The 18,561-nt window shown below is 48.2% G+C and overlaps 1 annotated feature.

Moving 5' to 3' along the window:
- Positions 10,602-10,783: a silencer, noted in NCBI's record as "fragment chr11:61225919-61226100 (GRCh37/hg19 assembly coordinates)". NCBI's record gives its function as "represses an EF-1alpha promoter that drives an FKBP-Casp9 reporter gene in an ReSE screen in K562 erythroleukemia cells {active_cell/tissue: K562}" and the evidence as "EXISTENCE:reporter gene assay evidence [ECO:0000049][PMID:32094911]".

Consider the following 18,561-nt stretch of genomic DNA (forward strand, 5'->3'; position numbering starts at 1 on the left):
TCAGTCTGAGACTTAAAACCTGTCCCTAACACAAATTGCCTGGCATATCAATGAGGTCACCATAGCTACATCCAGGGTTTCTCATCTGCAGGTCAGAAAGCTGAGCCTATTAATAGAACCACAGAATGTCTTACCTCCCAGTGAAGACGAGAGAGAAAACAGACCCTGGTGACAAGACCTTTGATGGAAAAATCTAGCACTCTCCCCTAAGCAAGGAATGGAAGTGAGACTCGCAGAAGCAGGGCAGGCGAGGAAGGAGACGTCTCCCTGGGAGCTTGCTGAAGACTCTGGCTATTCTCTCGGGCTGCATTTATGTACCCTGGGGAGAATGTTAAGCAGGCCGGGAGTTTATATATAGACATAGATCTGGACTGTACGAAGTGCACATGAATTGGGCGGTGACTTACCCATTTATCCTTTGCACGTTATGCAACAAACCCCAGTAGCCAAGGATGTAGTTGGAACTTTTCTCCCCCTCGGGTTTGATCCCTTCTTATCCTGATTTTGTCTTATTTAACACAATGTTCAATTGCTGCCGCTTTCACCTGGGAATGGCATGCTTCTAGAGGAATTGTTTTCCTCCCAGGCTGCTGGATTGTGTCATCTTTGAAAGTGAAGGATCTTGCTAAGTTCACCTGCTCAGTTGTCAGGCCCAGGGATGCTATGTAAACAGTTTTTCCCTTTATTAGGCATTAAGTAAAACTAGGCCGGCCACAGTGCATTTTTTTAGGAATTAATAAACATATAGCAAGGGCCAGCAGCCCCCGAAGGATCGCTAATGCACAGAAGCTAGACTCATTCCTTTTACTTTGACACATCCCTGCTTACTGACCTCATTCAGAGCCTGTGTGGGGCATATGAGCGTCTGGCCCTGTCCTGACCGACTCAAGTGGTCTTGTGAGTCCTGCACAGGCTCTCCACGTGACACCTTAAATTGGGTCAGGAAAGGCTGTTCTCTTTCCATCGTTTCCTTTTAATCATCCTAAGTCTTAAAAATCCATAAGCCAAACACCTTGTGCTGGAGCTTTCTGTGCCTTAGACAGAGTGTGTCTTTTGGGGGTCATTGTAGAAGCACTCTTACTGGCTTTGAGTGTTATCTGGAGGTCATCTGGTATGTCTTCTGCTCCAGCCAGGGTGGCACCAATACAGACCTGGTTCATATTTTTAAACATCACTGGGAAAAGATTCCGATGGGATAGTTGGGGTCTCTCATTTATCCTTCAGTCCATCTGCAGCTATTTGTGGCTAGACAAAGAGAGGAAGGTTTAATGATAAGCTAAACAGCTGTAGATGGCAAGCAGGTCTGTGAGATTTTTGAGCTGACAGCCCCACTTAATAGTATGTTCTGTAGTATCTGAGGACAGTGGACTCACCATCCCGCAGCTATCAAGTTGATGACACTGATCAGTACCCAGTGAAACTAACTCCTGACACCTCAGTTTCCCAGTGAACCCTCTGGGAATGAGGAGTGGTGTTCGAATTTTCCTGTCAGGGAAGATGGCATTGGTGGGATAGGTGGCTTCAGGCCAGCAGTACTTTTTGTGGCTTAAGAAACAAGTGTTGTTAGCAGTTTGTTAGAGGGGTGGTAGAAAGTTTAAGCTATCCAGGACAACATCAGTCTTTAAAGGAGATGGGTAGATTTATCATCACCTATAGCTGCAAAAGAAGAGTTAAAAGCCTTTTGTTGGATCCCGGATCTCAGACCCCAGATACTCCTTTTTTTTTTTTTTTTTTTGAGACAGGGTCTCACTGTCACCCAGGCTGGAGTGCAGTGGCAGGATCTCCCCTCACTGCAAGCTCTGCCTGGGTTCAAGCGATTCCATGCCTCAGCCACCCTAGTAGCTGGGATTACAGGTGCACGCTACCATGCCTGGCCAATTTTTGTGTTTTTAGTAGAGACGGAGTTTCACCATGTTGGACAGACTGGTCTCGAACTACAGGCCTCATGTGATCCGCCTGCCTCAGCCTCCCAAAGTGCCAAATATTCCTTTCAAAAAGGAGAATGTTTCTTTAAGAAGGGGATTGTATAATCTGTCATGAGATTAGAGTATAAAAGGAAAAAAGTGGGGGAGGGTGGATATATCATTTTCTGTAACAACACATCACAGCATGGAACTTTCAGCAAGTGAGAACGTTAAGATGTACATTCTGTTTCTCAGTGGATTCAGGTGATTTGGCTAATATTTAATAAAATATTCTCCTCTGGTGATGCCCTGGAACACGTGTTTAGGGGAAATAGAACAGAGTAGTTAAGGGGAGCTGTTTAGGAATCAGGCCTAACCTAGAATCCTGGAGCTCCCATTGATTAGCTGGGTGACCTGAAACACATTATTTAACCTCTCCAAGCTTCTGTTTCTCATCTGTGGAAAGGAAAGAAAAGGAACCCGACCTCACAGTGTGGGTATAAGGACTGAATAAAGTCCTGCCCCTGGAGAGCTTAGTACAGCCCCTGTACCCTCAGTAATACTTGGTAGTAACATCTAATAGTTCGGCTTGTTGTGTACCCAGTGCTGCTGAGTGCTTTACGTCATTTCATCCCACAATACCGTGAGATAGGTGCAATGATTATTCCCGTCTTAGAGATGAGGAAAGTGAGGCTCGGTGAGATAAAGTTGCTAGCTCAAAGTCACAGATAGGAAGCGGTTGGGCTAGGGTTTGAAGCCAGGCAGTGGGCCCCAGGGCCCTTGCACTTAGGTACCATGTGCTACCCTGCCTCAAAACATGAAAAGCATCATCATCTCTCTTCTAACGACCTCTCATCCTGAATCTTGTCTTGGTCCATGGCAGACTGCTGGTGTGGACAACTTTGCACAGATTGGGCCACCCTCTCTTGGTTCCCTATAGGACCTGGGGACCATGACTCATATGTCACAGCCTCAGCAGCTCTAGACTTAACCATCTGAGCCTTCCAAGGAGGACATGTGCAGCCTAGCTCTCCAGGTGAGAGCTTGGAGTTCAGAGACTTCCTGTGGATTTGGAGGGGAGCCAGAGGGAAGGGCTCAAGTTCTACCCAGCTTCAAGCGTTTTCTCCTTACCCTGAGCAGCAGAGATGAGCTCTTATGCTTTCTGGGCCGTCCCATCACTGGCTGTCCTTTGTATCCAAGTGGGAGGCTGCCTCTGAGAGTTGGATGTGCCTGTTAGGAAGCCCACATAGAACTCATTCCAGGGTCCCAAGATGAGTTGCACAACCTCTATCGCACCCACTGGCTCCAGTGCCTTTGCTGACAAACTAGTGCTGGTTCCTCCTAAGGCCCAAGGCTCTGAGGCCAGGCCCTCTGTGAGCAGGACCCTCACTCACCTGTTTCTCTGGGCTCCCATCTCAGCGGAGTCATGCAGAAGTGAGAAGGTTTTCATAGATGGTGTATTAGATACTGTTTGCAGCAGAAGCAGAAACAGGTAGTTGTCTTGGTCCAAATAGGAGAAGTGATGCCTAGAAATCTAACTGGAGACCGGGTGCAGTGGCCCATGCCTGTAATCCCAGCACTTTGGGAGTCCAAGGTGAGTGGATCATCTGAGGTCAGGCGTTCAAGATCAGCCTGGCCAACATGGTGAAACCCCGTCTCTACTAAAAATACAAAAAAAATTAGCCGGGTGTGGTGGCACGTGCCTGTAATCCCAGCTACTAAGGAGGCTGAGGCAGGAGAAGCACTAGAACCCGAGAGGTGGAGGTTGCAGTGAGCCGAGATCGCGCCATTGCACTCCAGCCTGGGCAACGAGTGAAACTGCGTCTCAAAAAAAAAAAAAAAAGAGAAAGCTAATTGGAAAAACACTGTCATGGTCTTCACTAAATGCTGGGGATAGAGAAGAATGCATCTTGTCTGTCCTTGAGGAGCTCACTGTTCTTGGTGCTTTATTTCATTGATTGCCAAGCAGAAGTTGTCTGCACTAGCATAGCACAATGTGCTACACCCAGTGCCAGACACAGAAGACGCGGAGATCAATGAGATGGAGCTCGTGCCGCAGAGGTCCTCTGAAGAAGGGATAAGTGAATGGAAGGCACGAAAGGATCTGTCTATGGGCCTCAGGCACTGACCCTGTGAGAGCAGGCAGCAGGACATCTAGCCTTGTATGCCAGGTCTATCCTCACAGCAGGGATGAGGACACCAGGCCACTGAGCTCTGAGACACCTACTTTTAATATAGAAATAACTTCTTTTGTTCTGAATTCACCCTCAGCAATCAGTTACGATTGTCTGGTAGATTTCCTTTTTATAGAGACAGGGTCTCACTCTGCCACCCAGGCTGGGGTGCAGTGGTGTGATTGACTCTTGGGCTCGAGGCATTCTCCTGTCTCAGCCTCCTGAGAAGCTGGGACTACAGGCGCATGCCACCACACCCAGCTAATTTTTTAAAAAAAGTTTATTTTGGGCCAGGTGCAGTGGCTCACGCCTGTAATCCCAGCACTTTGGGAGGCCGGGGTGGGCAGATCAAGAGGTCAGTAGTTCGAACCAGCCTGGACAACATGGTGAAACCCCCGTCTTTACTAAAGATACAAAAAATTAGCCGGGCGTGGTGGCACGTGCCTGTAATCCCAGCTACTCAGGAGGCTGAGGCAGGAGAATCCCTTGAACCCGGGAGGCGGGGGTTGTAGTGAGCCGAGATCATACCATTGCACTCCAGCCTGGGCGAGAGACTCCGTCTCAAAAAAAAAAAAAAAAGTTTTGTAGAGACAGGGTCTTGCTGTGTTGCCCAGACTGGTCTGGAACTCCTGGCTTCAAGCGATCCTCTCACCTCAGCCTCCCAAAGCACTGGGATTACAGGCATGAGCCACTGAGCCAGGTCTGTCTGGTAGATTCTTACCCTGTGTCCATGCTGTTTGCCATGTAGCTTTTAGGGCTTTCTGCCCAGACGCTGGGGTCAACTCATTGCTTTGGTCAATGAGATATCAGTCATTGTGAAGCAAGCACAGCCTTAGAAAGCACTTCCCCTTTAGCTCTTGTACCCCTGCCACCACGTGAGAACCTGCCCATGGTAGACTTCTGGAGGATGAGATGTGTGTCCCAGTCACCCCAGTTGCCTCAGCCAAAGTCAGCTGACAGTTAAGTGAGCCCAGTCAAGACCAGAAGAATTACCCGGCCAAGCCCAGTCCAAATTGTGAACCCGCAGACTTTTAAGCTAAGGAAATGCTTATTATTTTAAGTTATCAAGTTTTGGGGTCATTTGTTATGCAGCATTATTGTAGCAATTGATAACAGATACAGATGGCAACAGGGCTTGTCCATGTAGATTTGCTTTATAGGGAGAAAAATCACTGACTGGCCAGCATGAATGAGCATCCTGTCCCTTGGATGGGTCAATCTCTCATTTGTTTTTTTGTTTTGTTTTGTTTTGTTTTTTGAGATGGAGTCTGCTCTGTTTATTGCCCAGGCTAGAGTGCAATGGTGTGATCTCGGCTCACTGCAACCTCTGCCTCATGGATTCAAGTGATTCTCCGGCCTCAGCCTCCTGAGTAGCTGGGATTACAGGCATGCACCTCCACGCCCGGCTAATTTTTGTATTTTTAATAGAGATGGGGTGTCACCATGTTGGCCAGGCTGGTCTCAAACTCCTGACTTTACCACCCGCTTCGGCCTCTCAAAGTGCTGGGATTACAGGCGTGGGCCACCGTGCCCGGCCCTTGAATTTTTAAAAAGGCAGCTGCTTAGTATAGATCAGATTCTTGTGAACTTAGTATAGCAATCGCCTATGAACACACATGATTCCTACTGATCTATTTGAACAGCAGCAATAACATTTACTGAGCACTTATTCCAGAGCAGACATTAGGCTAACACCATACATGGCTTGTCCTGCTGAATTCCATAGCAGTCTGATGAAGTTGCTTGTATTGTTGTCTTCATTTTGCCAAAGAGGAAACAGGCCCAGAGGGACTGAGTTACTCACCTATGGTGACAGTGGCTTAGCACTTAGCAAACAAACTGATATAGGACCCTTGGAAAGTTGGAGGTCTGTGTTATGCATTAGCAAAATGTTTGATAAAACTACAGCCCACTGTAGCTTGGGAGGGTATCCCATGTGCTTTCCAGGCTGACAGCCAAAGGCAACGCAGTTGGAAAGCAGAAAACTTGTCATCTCTCTTGGCTACTGTAGGCTGTATTTGTTGAGGATTTATAAGGAAGGGATGAGCTCAGGCGAGGATTACCTGGTGTTTGAGCAGTAATGAAAGGAAATAAAGTACAGAAACCCACGGTCTTTCAGGGTTGGAAAATCTGCTACACCCCAAATAGGAAGAGATGAGATATAAGACTCATCTGGGCAAGAAAAGCCTGGTAAAACTTTTCTCTTGGATGCAGTTACTCAGGACAAGCATCAGGTTAAAGGTGGGCCTCCTATTTATTGTTCCAAATAGCCTCAAGCTAGCCATTGAGTAGAAAGGGAGAGACATGGAGGATGAACAGGCAAAACATATTAGACCTAAGAACTGGATCTAGGAAAAGACTTGGCACGTGCGTGAGCGTGGCCACTGGCCCACAAAGCTGACCAGGGCAAGTAGGTTAGACACTAACTATGTAAAGAATTGTATTGCCAAGGAACCGGGAGCCAGCCCTTTGGACAGTTCCAGCTATAAAACAACCTTTGGGCCTCCAATCATCCATGAGCAGGAGGGACGGTGCTCAGCCCCCAGAGAGGGCAGGCTCTGCCACTCTCATTTCAGCTGTAGCCAGAGAGGATGATGGAAAAGGAGGAATCTCCCAGAGAGAAGAGCCAGGGCCAATGTGGAGAGTGGATAAGGAGAGTGTCTCCCGGCAAGCAGCACCGGGGTGTAATGAACGGGTACCCCTGAGTCCTGTCCCTGCTCCACCACTGTGTGGCACAGGGTTAGGGGAGCAACTTGCTTGTCTTTTTGGTCATGGCTTACTGGACTGAGAAGAGCCACATTGGATGAGAAGTGACTACTGCACATCACCAGAGACCCTGGGCTTTGAGCCAGATATCGGGACTAGATAGGACTTTGGGTCCCTTGGGAAGAGGGTGTGTTCCCTGAGTGAAAAGAAAAACTTGGTTTGGCAAACAGAACGGTGGATCGTGGCAGAGATGATGGTATCCACCCGCCACACCATTTGATCTCCCTGAGCATATAGAAAGACCATTTCCTATAGCATCCAGGAAATGCCCTGAGCATGTGGGAAGCAGACTCTCCGGGCCAGGTGCGGTGGCTAATATCTGTAATCCCAGCACTTTGGGAGGCCGAGGCGGACAGATCACTTGAGGTCAGGAGTTCTAGACTAGCCCGGCCAACATGGTGAAACCCCGTCTCTACCAAAAATGTAAAAAATTAGCCACATGTGGTGGTGGACGCCTGTAATCCCAGCTACTCGGGAGGCTGAGGCAGGAGAATTGCTTGAACCCGGGAGGCAGAGGTTGCAGTGAGCTGAGATCGTGCCACTGCACTCCAGCCTGGGCAACAGAGCGAGACTCCGTTTCAAAAAAAAAAAGAAGGAGCTGCCCTGATAACAAGGCTGGTGCTATGCGACTGAGTCCGGCAGAGAGAGTGTGAGTGAAAGCAATGAAAGCCACTTCCAGGCCTGGCCCTTGGAAACATCTTGAGTGGTTGCAGCCCACTGTTACCCTGCTGCAGACATCCCAGAGACCACACGTCCAGACAATGTGGCACACGAAGGAGGAGGGCCACCTAATCTCTTGCAAACTGCTTGTGAATGAGAAGCCTTTACTGTGTTAAGTCAAGGGGGATTTCATGCTTTATTCATTTCCTCATCATTGTCTATTCGATCCTGATTAGCACCTAGCACCTCTCAGTGTAGCAGGCTCATAGGATATCGCTGGCACATCTCAGTATATCAGACCTCATCTTGGCCAGGCACTCAGTTTCTGTGCTCCAGCCTCTAAGATGGTCAGTCTTTCAACCTCACCCTTTGCAGAATTCCTCCTGCTGCAGGGCCTTTGCACATGCTGTATGTCTTTGGCCAATCTGCTCTTTCATGTTCCACAATGACTGGGTCAAACCTCCCACCCATTACTCAAACCTGTGACTTTTCCTTCTCTCCATTCTCAGACGACCTCACTGACTTCCATCAGAGGACATTGAAGCCCTCAGAGAGGAGCTCCCTTGCCTTCCCACATCTGCACACCCATTCTTCTGTGACACAGGAACTTTGGCTTCTGCCCTTACCTTGCTCTGCACTGTCAGTAGCAGCCTGCCTCCTGTATGCTCATCTGTCCCACTCGGCTCAATCCTACTCCCAAGCCCTGGCTTCTTTGTCAAGTCCAGTGACTCTCCTTTTTCTTTCTTTCTTTTTTTTTTTTTTTTTTTTTTTTGAGACAGAGTCTCACTGTGTTGCCCAGGTTGGAGTGCAGTGGTGCAATCTTGGCTCACTGCAACCTCCGCCTCCTGGGTTCAAGCGATTTTCCTGCCCCAGCCTCCTGAGTAGCTGGGACTACAGGCGTGTGCCACCACGCCCAGCTAATTTTTGTATTTTTAGTAGAGACGGGGTTTCACCATGTTGGCCAGGCTGGTCTCAAACTCCTGACCTCAAGTGATCCACCTGCCTTGGCCTTCTAAAGTGCTGGGATTACAGGCGTGAGCCACCGCGCTCGGCTGACTCTTCTTTTCCTTTCCTCCCCTTTGTAATCCAGCTTCTTCAAGGGGTTGACTATACTTGTCTCTACTTTCTTAAAATCTCACTTATTCTTTATATTAATCTATCCATGTTTCCACCTCGTTATGCTATGAAAGCATCTCTCACTAAAGTCACCTGTGACTTCCATGTTGCTAATCCAACAGGCTTTATTGAAGTTTTATCTTTGCCTCTAACCAATTATGGACACCTCCCCTTCCCTTGATTTTCATGATTCTGTTTCCTTCTGCCTCTCCAGCCATGCTTCTGCCTCTGTGAGGCACGCCGTCCTCTTCCCAGTCATTCTGTTTGTAGTTCTTCACAGTGCTCTTCTAGGAGCCTCCTCTCTCCTCTGGATACTCTCTCTAGTGATCTCACCCATACCGGGGTACCCATCACCACCTATGTGTGGACAGTTCTCACATCTTCCTCTAAGCTCCAGCTTGCATATCTAACTGCCAACTTGACTCCTCCTTTGAAGGAGGCTGAAAAACCCTTCAAACTCAGCCAGGCTACCCTCCCTCCCTGTTCTACTCACCAAAAACTCCCTCATCTTGAGAGCCTCAGTGAATGGCATCACCAGTCATCCAGTTGCTCAAGCTGGGAATTGTCCTAAGCTGCTCCTTCTCCCTCCATGGCCATCATCCAAGGCCTGTTGACTTAGCTTCAAAATAGTTCTTGAATCCATCACTTCTTCCCATCTCTAGCACCATCACTGTGGTGAAAGCTACTCTCATCTCTCTGATGGACAATGGGTATGGCCATCTGATCTGCCTTCATCATCTGGCATTCCCTCAAATCTGTTCTTTGCCTGCAGCTCCCAAATGAGTGTGCAGTTAACCCTTGAACAACACAGGAGTTGGGGCGCCAACCCCTGCATAGTCGAAAATCTGCATATACCTTTTGATTCTCCAAAAACTTTACTAATAGCCTACTATTGACCAGAAGCCTTACTGAGAACATAGTCGATTAACATGTATTTTATGTTATATGTATTATATACTGTATTCTTAGAGTTAGCTAGAGAAAAGAAATACTATTAAGAAAATCAGGCCAGGCACAGCATCTCACACCTGTAATTAGCTTTGGGAGGCTAAGGCAGGAGTTGGAGACCAGTCTGGACAACATGAGACCCCAGCTCTACAAAAAAAAAATGTTAAAAATTAGCCAAGTGTGGTGGCACACCTTGTAGTCCCAGCTACTGGGGATCTGGGGCAGGAGGTCGAGGCTACAGTGAGCTGTGATCACACCAGTGCACTCCAGCCTAGACAACAGAGTCAGACTCTGTCTCTTAAAAACATCATAAAGAAGAAAAAATACATTTACTATTCATTAAGTGGAAGTGGATCATCATAAAAGTCTTCATCTTTGTTGTCTTCACATTGAGTGGGCTGAGGAGGTGGAGGAAGAGGATGGGTTGGTTTTATTGTCTCAGGGGTGACAGAGGTGGAAGAAAATCTGTGTATAAGCCAGCCACAGTCGTTCACATCTGTAATCCCAGCACTTTGGGAGGCCGAGATGGGAGCTCAGGGCTGACAGAGGTGAAAGAAAATCTGTATATAGGGCCAGATGCAGTGGCTCACACCTGTAGTCCGAGCACTTTGGGAGGCTGAGGTGGGAGGATTGCTTGATTCCAGGAGTTCAAGATCAGCTTGGACAACATGGAGAGACCCTGTCTCTACAAAAAATATTTTTTAAAAAATTAGCTAGGCATGGCCGGCTGCCGTGGCTCACGGCTGTAATCCCAGCACTTTGGGAGGCTGAGGTGGGCGGATCACCTGAGGTCAGGAGTTTGAGACCATCCTGGCTAACATGGTGAAACCCTGTTTCTACTAAAAATACAACAAATTAGCCAGGCATGGTGGCATGCACCTGTAATCTTAGCTACTCGGGAGGCTGAGGCAGGAGAATTGCTTGAACTCAGGAGCCAGAGGTTGCAGTGAGCTGAGATCGCGCCATTGCACTCCAGCCTGGGCAATAAATAGAGCAGACTCTGTCTCAAAAAAAAAAAAAAAAAGGCCAGGCGCGTTGGCTCACGCCTGTAATCCCAGCACTTTGGGAGGCCGAGGCGGGCGGATCACGAGGTCAGGAGATCGAGACCATCCTGGCTAACACGGTGAAACCCCATCTTTACTAAAAAAAAAAAAAAAAAAATTAGCTGGGTGTGGTGGCGGGAGCCTGTAGTCCCAGCTACTCAGGAGGCTGAGGCAGGAGAATGGCGTGAACCTGGGAGGCGGAGCTTGCAGTGAGCCAAGATCATGCCACTGCACTGCAGCCTGGGTGTCAGAGTGAGACTCCGTCTCAAAAAAAAAAAAAAAAAAAAAAAAGAGCTAGGCATGGTGGCACACACCTGTGGTCCCAGCTACTTGGGAAGCTGAGGTGAGCAGATTGCTTGAGCCCCATGGGTTGAGCCTGCAGTGAGCAATAATCACACCCCTGCACCCCAGCCTGTGCAACAGAATGAGACCGTGTCTCTAAAAAAACAAAAGAAAAATTGGTATATAAGTGGACGCATGCAGTTCAAACTTACTGTTCAAGAGTCACATGTATTTCAATACGCTGGTCTGAACATGTCTTCCACTTCCTTAAAACCCTTCTATGGCTGCTCATTGCTGTTAAGAAAATGAAAATTCTTAACACGACCTACAGTGGCCCACTGCAACCTTGACTTCCCAGACTCAAGGGATCCTCCCACCTCAGCCTCCCAAGTAGGCTAATTTATTTATTTTTTTATTTGTAGAGATAGAGGTCTCACTATGTTGCCCAGGCTGGTCTTGAACTCCTGGGCTCAACCGATCCTCCTACCTTGGCCTCCCAAAATGCCAGGCTTATAGGCATGAGCTACCGCACCCGGCCTAACTTCTCCATTTTATTTATTTATTTGTTTGTTTATTTATTTATTTATTTACTTTTGAGATGGAGTCTGGCTCTGTCACCCAGGCTGGAGTGCAGTGGTGCAATCTCGGCTCACTGCAACCTCCGCCTCCCAGGCTCAAGCGATTCTCGTGCCTCAGCCTCCCAAGTAGCTAGGACTACAGATGCCACAACCACGCCCAGCTAATTTTTTGTATTTTAGTAGAGACAGGATTTCACCATGTTGCCTAGGGTGGTCTCACACTCCTGAGCTCAGGCGATCCACCTGCCTCGGCTTCCCAAAGTGCTGGGATTACAGATGTGAGCCACCACACCCGGCTTCCATTTTTTTTTTTTTTTTTTTTGAGATGGAGTCTTGCTCTGTCACCCAGGCTGGAGTGCAGTGGCACGATCTCGGCTCACTGCAAGCTCCGCCTCCCGGGTGCATGCCATTCTCCTGCCTCAGCCTCCCAAATAGCTGGGACTACAGTCGCCCGCCACCACGCCCAACTAATTTTTTGTATTTTTAGTAGAGATGGAGTTTCACCGTGTTAGCCAGGATGATCTCGATCTCCTGACCTCGTGATCCACCCACTTCGGCCTCCCAAAGTGCTGGGATTATGGGTGTGAACCACCGCGCCCAGCCCCGGCCTCCATTTTAAATCCATATGGTGGTTCTCCCATGGATGCTTATCTCCCCACGAGAATTTTAAGCCCCATGAAGACAAGGACTAGATCTTTCTTTTGTTCACTTTATATCCTGGTGCCTAGCATAGCCCTTGGCATATAGAGGGTGCTCCTAATTATTTAAGAAACGAGTATGGTTCATGCCTGTAATCCCAGCACTTCGGGAGGCCAAGGCGGGCAGATTGCTTCAGGCCAGGGGTTCGAGACCAGCCTGGCCAACATGGTGAAACCACGTCTCTACTAAAAATACAAAAAGCCGGGCATGGTGGTATATGCCTGTAGTCCCAGCTACTGGGGAGGCTGAGGCAGGAGAATGGCTTGAACCTGGGAGGCAGAGGTTGCAGTAAGTCAAGATTGCACCACTACACTCCAGCCTGGGCAGGCAACAGAGTGAGGCTCCATCTCAAAAAAAAAAAGTAAAAATAAAATCAATTGATGGATCCATCTGATTTCAGAACTCAGAGTAAACCTTTCTAACAGTGAGAGCTGTACGGGTGCAGGAGTCAGAGGCCTCCTGGGCCTCCCGCTGTGATGAGAGATTTTTTTTCCCCTCCCAAGTTCAGTGTGCCTGAAGGATTAGTGCCAGCTTTCCAGGTGGCTGGATGCCCTGTGGCTGGGGAGAAGAGTTTTAATGAATTAGATCTGTCTCTCTTGTGCAAAGTGGAGAGTTCTTGGTTCTCTGCCCAGGCCTCTGGAAGACCTGGGATGTTAAAAGAAGCAAACTCCCAAACCCAGGCGTGCTCCAGGAAATAGAAGCTGCATCACATAGTCCTGGAGCCTGGGGCTCCAAGATCCATCCACCCCCACTGAGGGCGGGCATTACATTTCTCATGAGGAGGATGTCCTGGAGAAGCAGAAATAGTTGGCCATCCTAAGTAACTGTGTGGGTGCTCAGTACTGGCTCTCTCTGCTTCCTTACTCCCCATTCAATCTGGTGGGCCTTCTTTGACTCTCTCCCACTGCCTAGCCCCAGTGCACACACATATACTCCCTGCTCCAGTTGTATTCTTCAAACTGTTTTCCCAGATGGGAATGTCCTCTGCCTTTCTCCCCTCAGTGCGAGGGAGGTGCCGCTTACTGAGGCCTCCAAACTACACTCTCCCTGGGTTCTCTCATTCATACTCACAAACCTCCCTTCGGAGATTATATCATCCCATTTCCTACATGAGGCTTGTCCAAGGTCACACCGCTAGGAGGCAGCAGGGCTGAAATTTAAACCCAGGTTGCCCTAGAGATTGCGTTGTTCCCAACACCCTACTCATCCTCCCAGACTTAGCCTGTTCACTCATTACCTTCATGAGCACTGTGGGATCTGTGACCATTTATTCTGATATTTACTTAGTCTCTTTTCTTAAATAGAGCCCCTTTTTTATTTAAATGAATTACTTTTAAAAGGAAACTATATGACAACTGTAAATGAAAAAATCTCATCAATAGTGTCTCTTGCCAAAATTAAAACTCTAAAAACAAATACATTCAATGTTACTTTTTTTTTTTAACATTTTACTATAAAAAAATTCAAACATACAGCTAAAGTTGGAAGAGTTTTACAGTGAGCACTGGTATAGCCTCCACCTAGTTTCTACCTTTAACTTTTTTTTTTGAGACAGGGTCTCACTCTGTTGCCGAGGCTGGTGATCACAGCTCATTGTAGCCTCAACCTCCTGGGCTCGAGTGATCCTCCCATCTCAGCCTCCCAAATAGCTGGGACTACAGGCATGCACCACCACACGCGGGGTTTTACCATGTTGCCCAGGCTGGTCTCGAACCCCTGGGCTCAACCGATCCGCCTATCTCTGCCTCTTAAAGTGCTGAGATTACAGGCATGGGCCACTGCACCGGCCTACTCTTAATTTTTTACTCTGCTGGGCTCTTCACATATCAGTTTATCTTTCCATCCCTCTCTCCACCCATTTATTCATCTCCTTTTTGGTACATTTCAAAGCAAATTATAGACATCAGAGCACTCTTGCTAAAAGCTTCACAATGTATGTTATTAACTAGAATTCAATATTTAAAGTTTATTCTTTTGCTGTAAAATTTACATACAGTGAAATTCACAAAAATCTTAAGTGTATGTTTGCTGAGTTTTGAAAGGCTTATACCAGACTCTTATTGAAATGGAGAAATTGGGCCAGGCGCAGTGGCTCATGCTTGTAATTCCAGCACTTTGAGAGGCTGAGGCAGGCGGATCACTTGAGGTCAGGAGTTTGAGATCAGCCTGGCCAACATGGTGAAACCCCGTCTCTACTAAAAATACAAAAAAATTAGCCGGGCGTGGTGGCAGGTACCTGTAGTCCCAGCTACGTGGGAGGCTGAGGCAGGAGAATGGCATGAACCTGGGAGTCGGAGCTTGCAGTGAGCCGAGATTTCGCCACTGCACTCCAGCCTGGGCAACAGAGTGAGACTCCATCTCAAAAAAAAAAAATTTTGATTGTAGTCATTTTTTTTTCTTTTTTTGAGACAGGGTCTCGCTCTGTTGTCCAGGCTAGAGTGCAGTGGTGCAATCACAACTCACTGCAGCCTCAACTTCCTAGGCTCAAGTGATCCTCCCACCTCAGCCTCCCAAGTACTAGGACTACAGGCATGCGCCAACACACCTGCCTCATTCTTTAATTTTTGTAGAAATGAGGTCTCCTTATATTGCCCAGGCTGGTCTCAAACTCCTGAGCTCAAGTGATCCTCCTGCATTCGCCTCCCAAAGTGCCAAGATTACAGGCATGAGCCACCGTGCCCAGCCTGTTGTCATTTTTTTTTTTTTTTGTAGAGAAGGGGTGTATTAGTCTGTTCTCATGTTGCTATAAATAACTACCTCAGACTGGGTTATTTATTTATTTATTTATTTAGGGATGGAGTTTTGCCCTTGTTGCCCAGGCTGGAGTGCAATGGCGTGATCTCGGCTCACCGCAACCTCCGCCTCCTAGGTTCAAGCAGTTCTCCTGCCTCAGCCTCCCGGGTAGCTGAGATTACAGGCATGCGCCACCATGCCCAGGTAATTTTTGTATTTGTAGTAGAGACGGGGTTTCTCCATGTTGGTCAGGCTGGTCTCGAACTCCCGACCTCAGGTGATCGGCCCGCCTAGGCCTCCCAAAGTGTTGGGATTACAGGCATGAGCCACTGTGCCCAGCCTGAGACTGGATAATTTATAAAGAAAAGAGGTTTAGGCCGGGTGCAGTGACTCACACCCTTAATCCCAGCACCTTGGGAGGCCAAGGCGGGCGGATCACAAGGTCAAGAGATTGAGACCATCCTGGCCAACATGGTGAAACCCCGTCTCTACTAAAAATACAAAAATTACCCAGGCGTGGTGGCACACACCTGTAGTCCCAGCTACTCGGGAGGCTGAGGCAGGAGAATCACTCGAACCTGGGAGGTGGAGGTTGCAGTGAGCCGAGATCACGCCACTGCACTCCAGCCTGGTGACAGAGTGAGACTGCGTCTCAAAAAAAAAAAAAAAAAAAAAGGAGGTTTAATTGACTTACAGTTCTGCAAGCTGTACAGGAAGCATGGCTTGGGAGGCCTCAGGAAACTTACCATCAGGGCAGAAAGTGAAGGGGAAGCAGGCACGTCTTACATGGCCAGTGAAGGAGGAGGTGCTACATACCTTTAAACAACCAGATCTCATGAGAACTCACTATCACAAGAATAGCAAGGGGGAAATCCACCCCCATGATCCAATCACTTCCTCCAACACTGGGGATTACAATTCAACAGGAGATTTGGGTGGGGACACAAATTCAAACCATATCACCAGGTTTTGCCATGTTGCCCAGACTGGTCTCAAACCCCTAGAGCTCAAGCAGTCTGCCTGCCTCTGTCTCCCAAAGTGCTGGGATCACAGGTGCGAGCCACTGCGTCCAGCTGTGGTTGTTCTGTGTATATCTTACATACCAGTCCTTTGCACATGTGTTTGGAAATATTTCTACTCAGTCCATGATTTGTCTTTCTCCTCTCCTCTCTCCTTTCCTTCTCCCCTTCCCTTCCCTTCCCTTCCCTACCCTTCCCTTCCCTTCCCTTCCCTCCCCTCCCCTCCCCTCCCCTTCCTTCCCCTCTTCCCTCTCCTCTCTCCTCTTCTTGGCTCTCTTCCCTTCCCTTCCCTTCCCTTCCCTTCCCTCCCCTCTTCCCTTCCCTCCCCTTCTCTTCCCTTCCCTTTTCCCTTCCCTCCCCTTCTCTTCCCTTCCCTTTTCCCTTCCCTCTTCCCTTCCCTTCCCTTCCCTCTTCCCTTCCCCCCTGCCCTGCCCTGCCCTTCTTCCCTGCCCTGCCCTTCTTCCCTGCCCTGCTCTTCTTATAGGGTCTCACTATGTCACCTAGGCCGGAGTGCAGTGGCATGGTCATAGCTCACTGAGCCTCCAGCTCCTGGGCTCAAGTGATCCTCCCACCTCCACCTCCCATGTAGTTGGGACCACAGGCAGAGTCTACCACAACTGGCTACTTTTTGTTTTTTTGTAGAGACAAGGTCTCACTATGTGGCCCAGGCTGACCTTAAACTCCTGGGTTCAAGGGATCCTTCCTCCCTGAGCTCCCAAAGTGCTGGGATTACAGACATGAGCCACTGCCTCAGCCCCATCATTTATTTATTTATTTTATTTTTATTTTTTTGAGACGGTTTCACTCTGTCGCCCAGGCTAGAGTGCAGTGGCCCGATCTTGGCTCACTGCAACCTCTGCCTCCCACGTTCAAGCAATTCTCCTGCCTCAGCCTCCCAAGTAGCTGGGACTACAGGTGCATGCCACCACGCCCAGCTAATTTTTTTTGTATTGTTAGTAGAAACGGGGTTTCGCCATGTTGACCAGGCTGGTCTCGAACTCCTGATCTCTAGTGATCTGCCCGCCTTGGCCTCCCAAAGTGCTGGGACTACAGGCGTGAGCCACCATGCCCAACCCCCATCATTTATTTTTAAAAACTTATTTTCCTATTGGATTGTTTGGCATCTCATCAAAAAACATATCTGTGGCTGGGCATGGCGGCTCACGCCTTAATCTCAGCACTTTGGGAGGCCGAGGTGGGCAGATTATGAGGTCAGGAAATAGAGACCGTACTGGCCAACATGGTGAAACCCCATCTCTACTAAAAAAAAAAATACAAAAATTAGCTGGGTGTGGTGGCACATGCCTGTAAATCCCAGCAACTTGGGAGGCTGAGGCAGGAGAATCACTTGAACCAGGGAGTCGGAGGTTGCAGTGAGCTAAGATCACGCCACTGCACTCCAGCCTGGGTGACAGAGCAAGACTCCATCTCAAAAATCAAACAAACAAAAACATGTCTGTGACTATAAAAACAAATGTAAAACAACTACAATGAGTTATTAAATTTAATTTTTTAAAAAATAAAATGTTGCAGGGCGCGGTGGCTCACACCTGTAATCCCAGCACTTTGGGAGGCTGAGGCAGGCAGATCACGAGGTCAGGAGATCGAGACCATCCTGGCTAACATGGTGAAACCCCGTGTCTACTAAAAAATAAAAAAAATTAGCCAGGTGTGGTGGCGGGCGCCTGTAGTCCCAGCTACTCGGGAGGCTGAGGCAGAAGAATAGCGTGAACCTGGGAGGCGGAGCTTGCAGTGAGCAGCGATCACCCCACTGCACTCCAGCCTGGGCGAAAGAGCGAGACTCCGTCTCAAAAAATAAAATAGAATAAAATGTTCAGGCTGAGCACAGTGGCTCACCCCTATAATCTCCGCACTTTGGGAGGCCAAGACGTGTGGATCATTTGAGCCAGGAGTTCAAGATCAACCTGGGCAACATGGCAAAACCATGTCTCTACAAAAAATTTTAAAACTATATTAACTGGGCATGGTGGCACATGTCTATAGTCCCAGCTTCTCCAGAGGCTGAGGTGGGAGGATCGCTTGAGCCCAGGAGATCCAGACTGCAGAGAGCTGTGATTGCGCCACTGCACTCCAGCCTGAGTGCCAGAGCAAGACCCTGTCTCACATAAATATTTTAAAAATAAAATATTTGGCTGGGTGCAATGGCTCACCCCTGTAATCCCAGCACTTTGAGAGGCCAAGGCGGATGGATCACTTGAGGTCCAGAGTTCAAAGACTAGCCTTGCCAACATGGCAAAACCCCATCTCTACTGAAAAATACAAAAATTAGGCGGGCGTGGTGGCATGCACCTGTAATCCAAGCTACTCGGGAGGCTGAAGCAGGGAGAATTGCTTGAACCCAGGAGGCGGAAGTTGCAGTGAGCCGAGATCACACCACTGCACTCCAGCCTGGGTGACACAGTGAGACTCTGTCTCGGGAAAAAAAAAAAATTAAGTGAAAATAAAGCGCGAGTAAAAGTAGTCTGAGTTAACAAAAATTCATGTTTAAAAATCAGTTCCTCACTGAGAAAAATGGAACTGATTGTGACTAGGCTGTAATAAAAAGATGCTCAGTTTGATGTCACTTATATCGAAAATTTGAAATTCTTCATCAAAAGACAACTTTCTTTTTGAACTTT

Source organism: Homo sapiens, chromosome 11 (assembly GCF_000001405.40).
Source record: "Homo sapiens chromosome 11, GRCh38.p14 Primary Assembly".
Taxonomy (NCBI): Eukaryota; Metazoa; Chordata; class Mammalia; order Primates; family Hominidae; genus Homo; species Homo sapiens.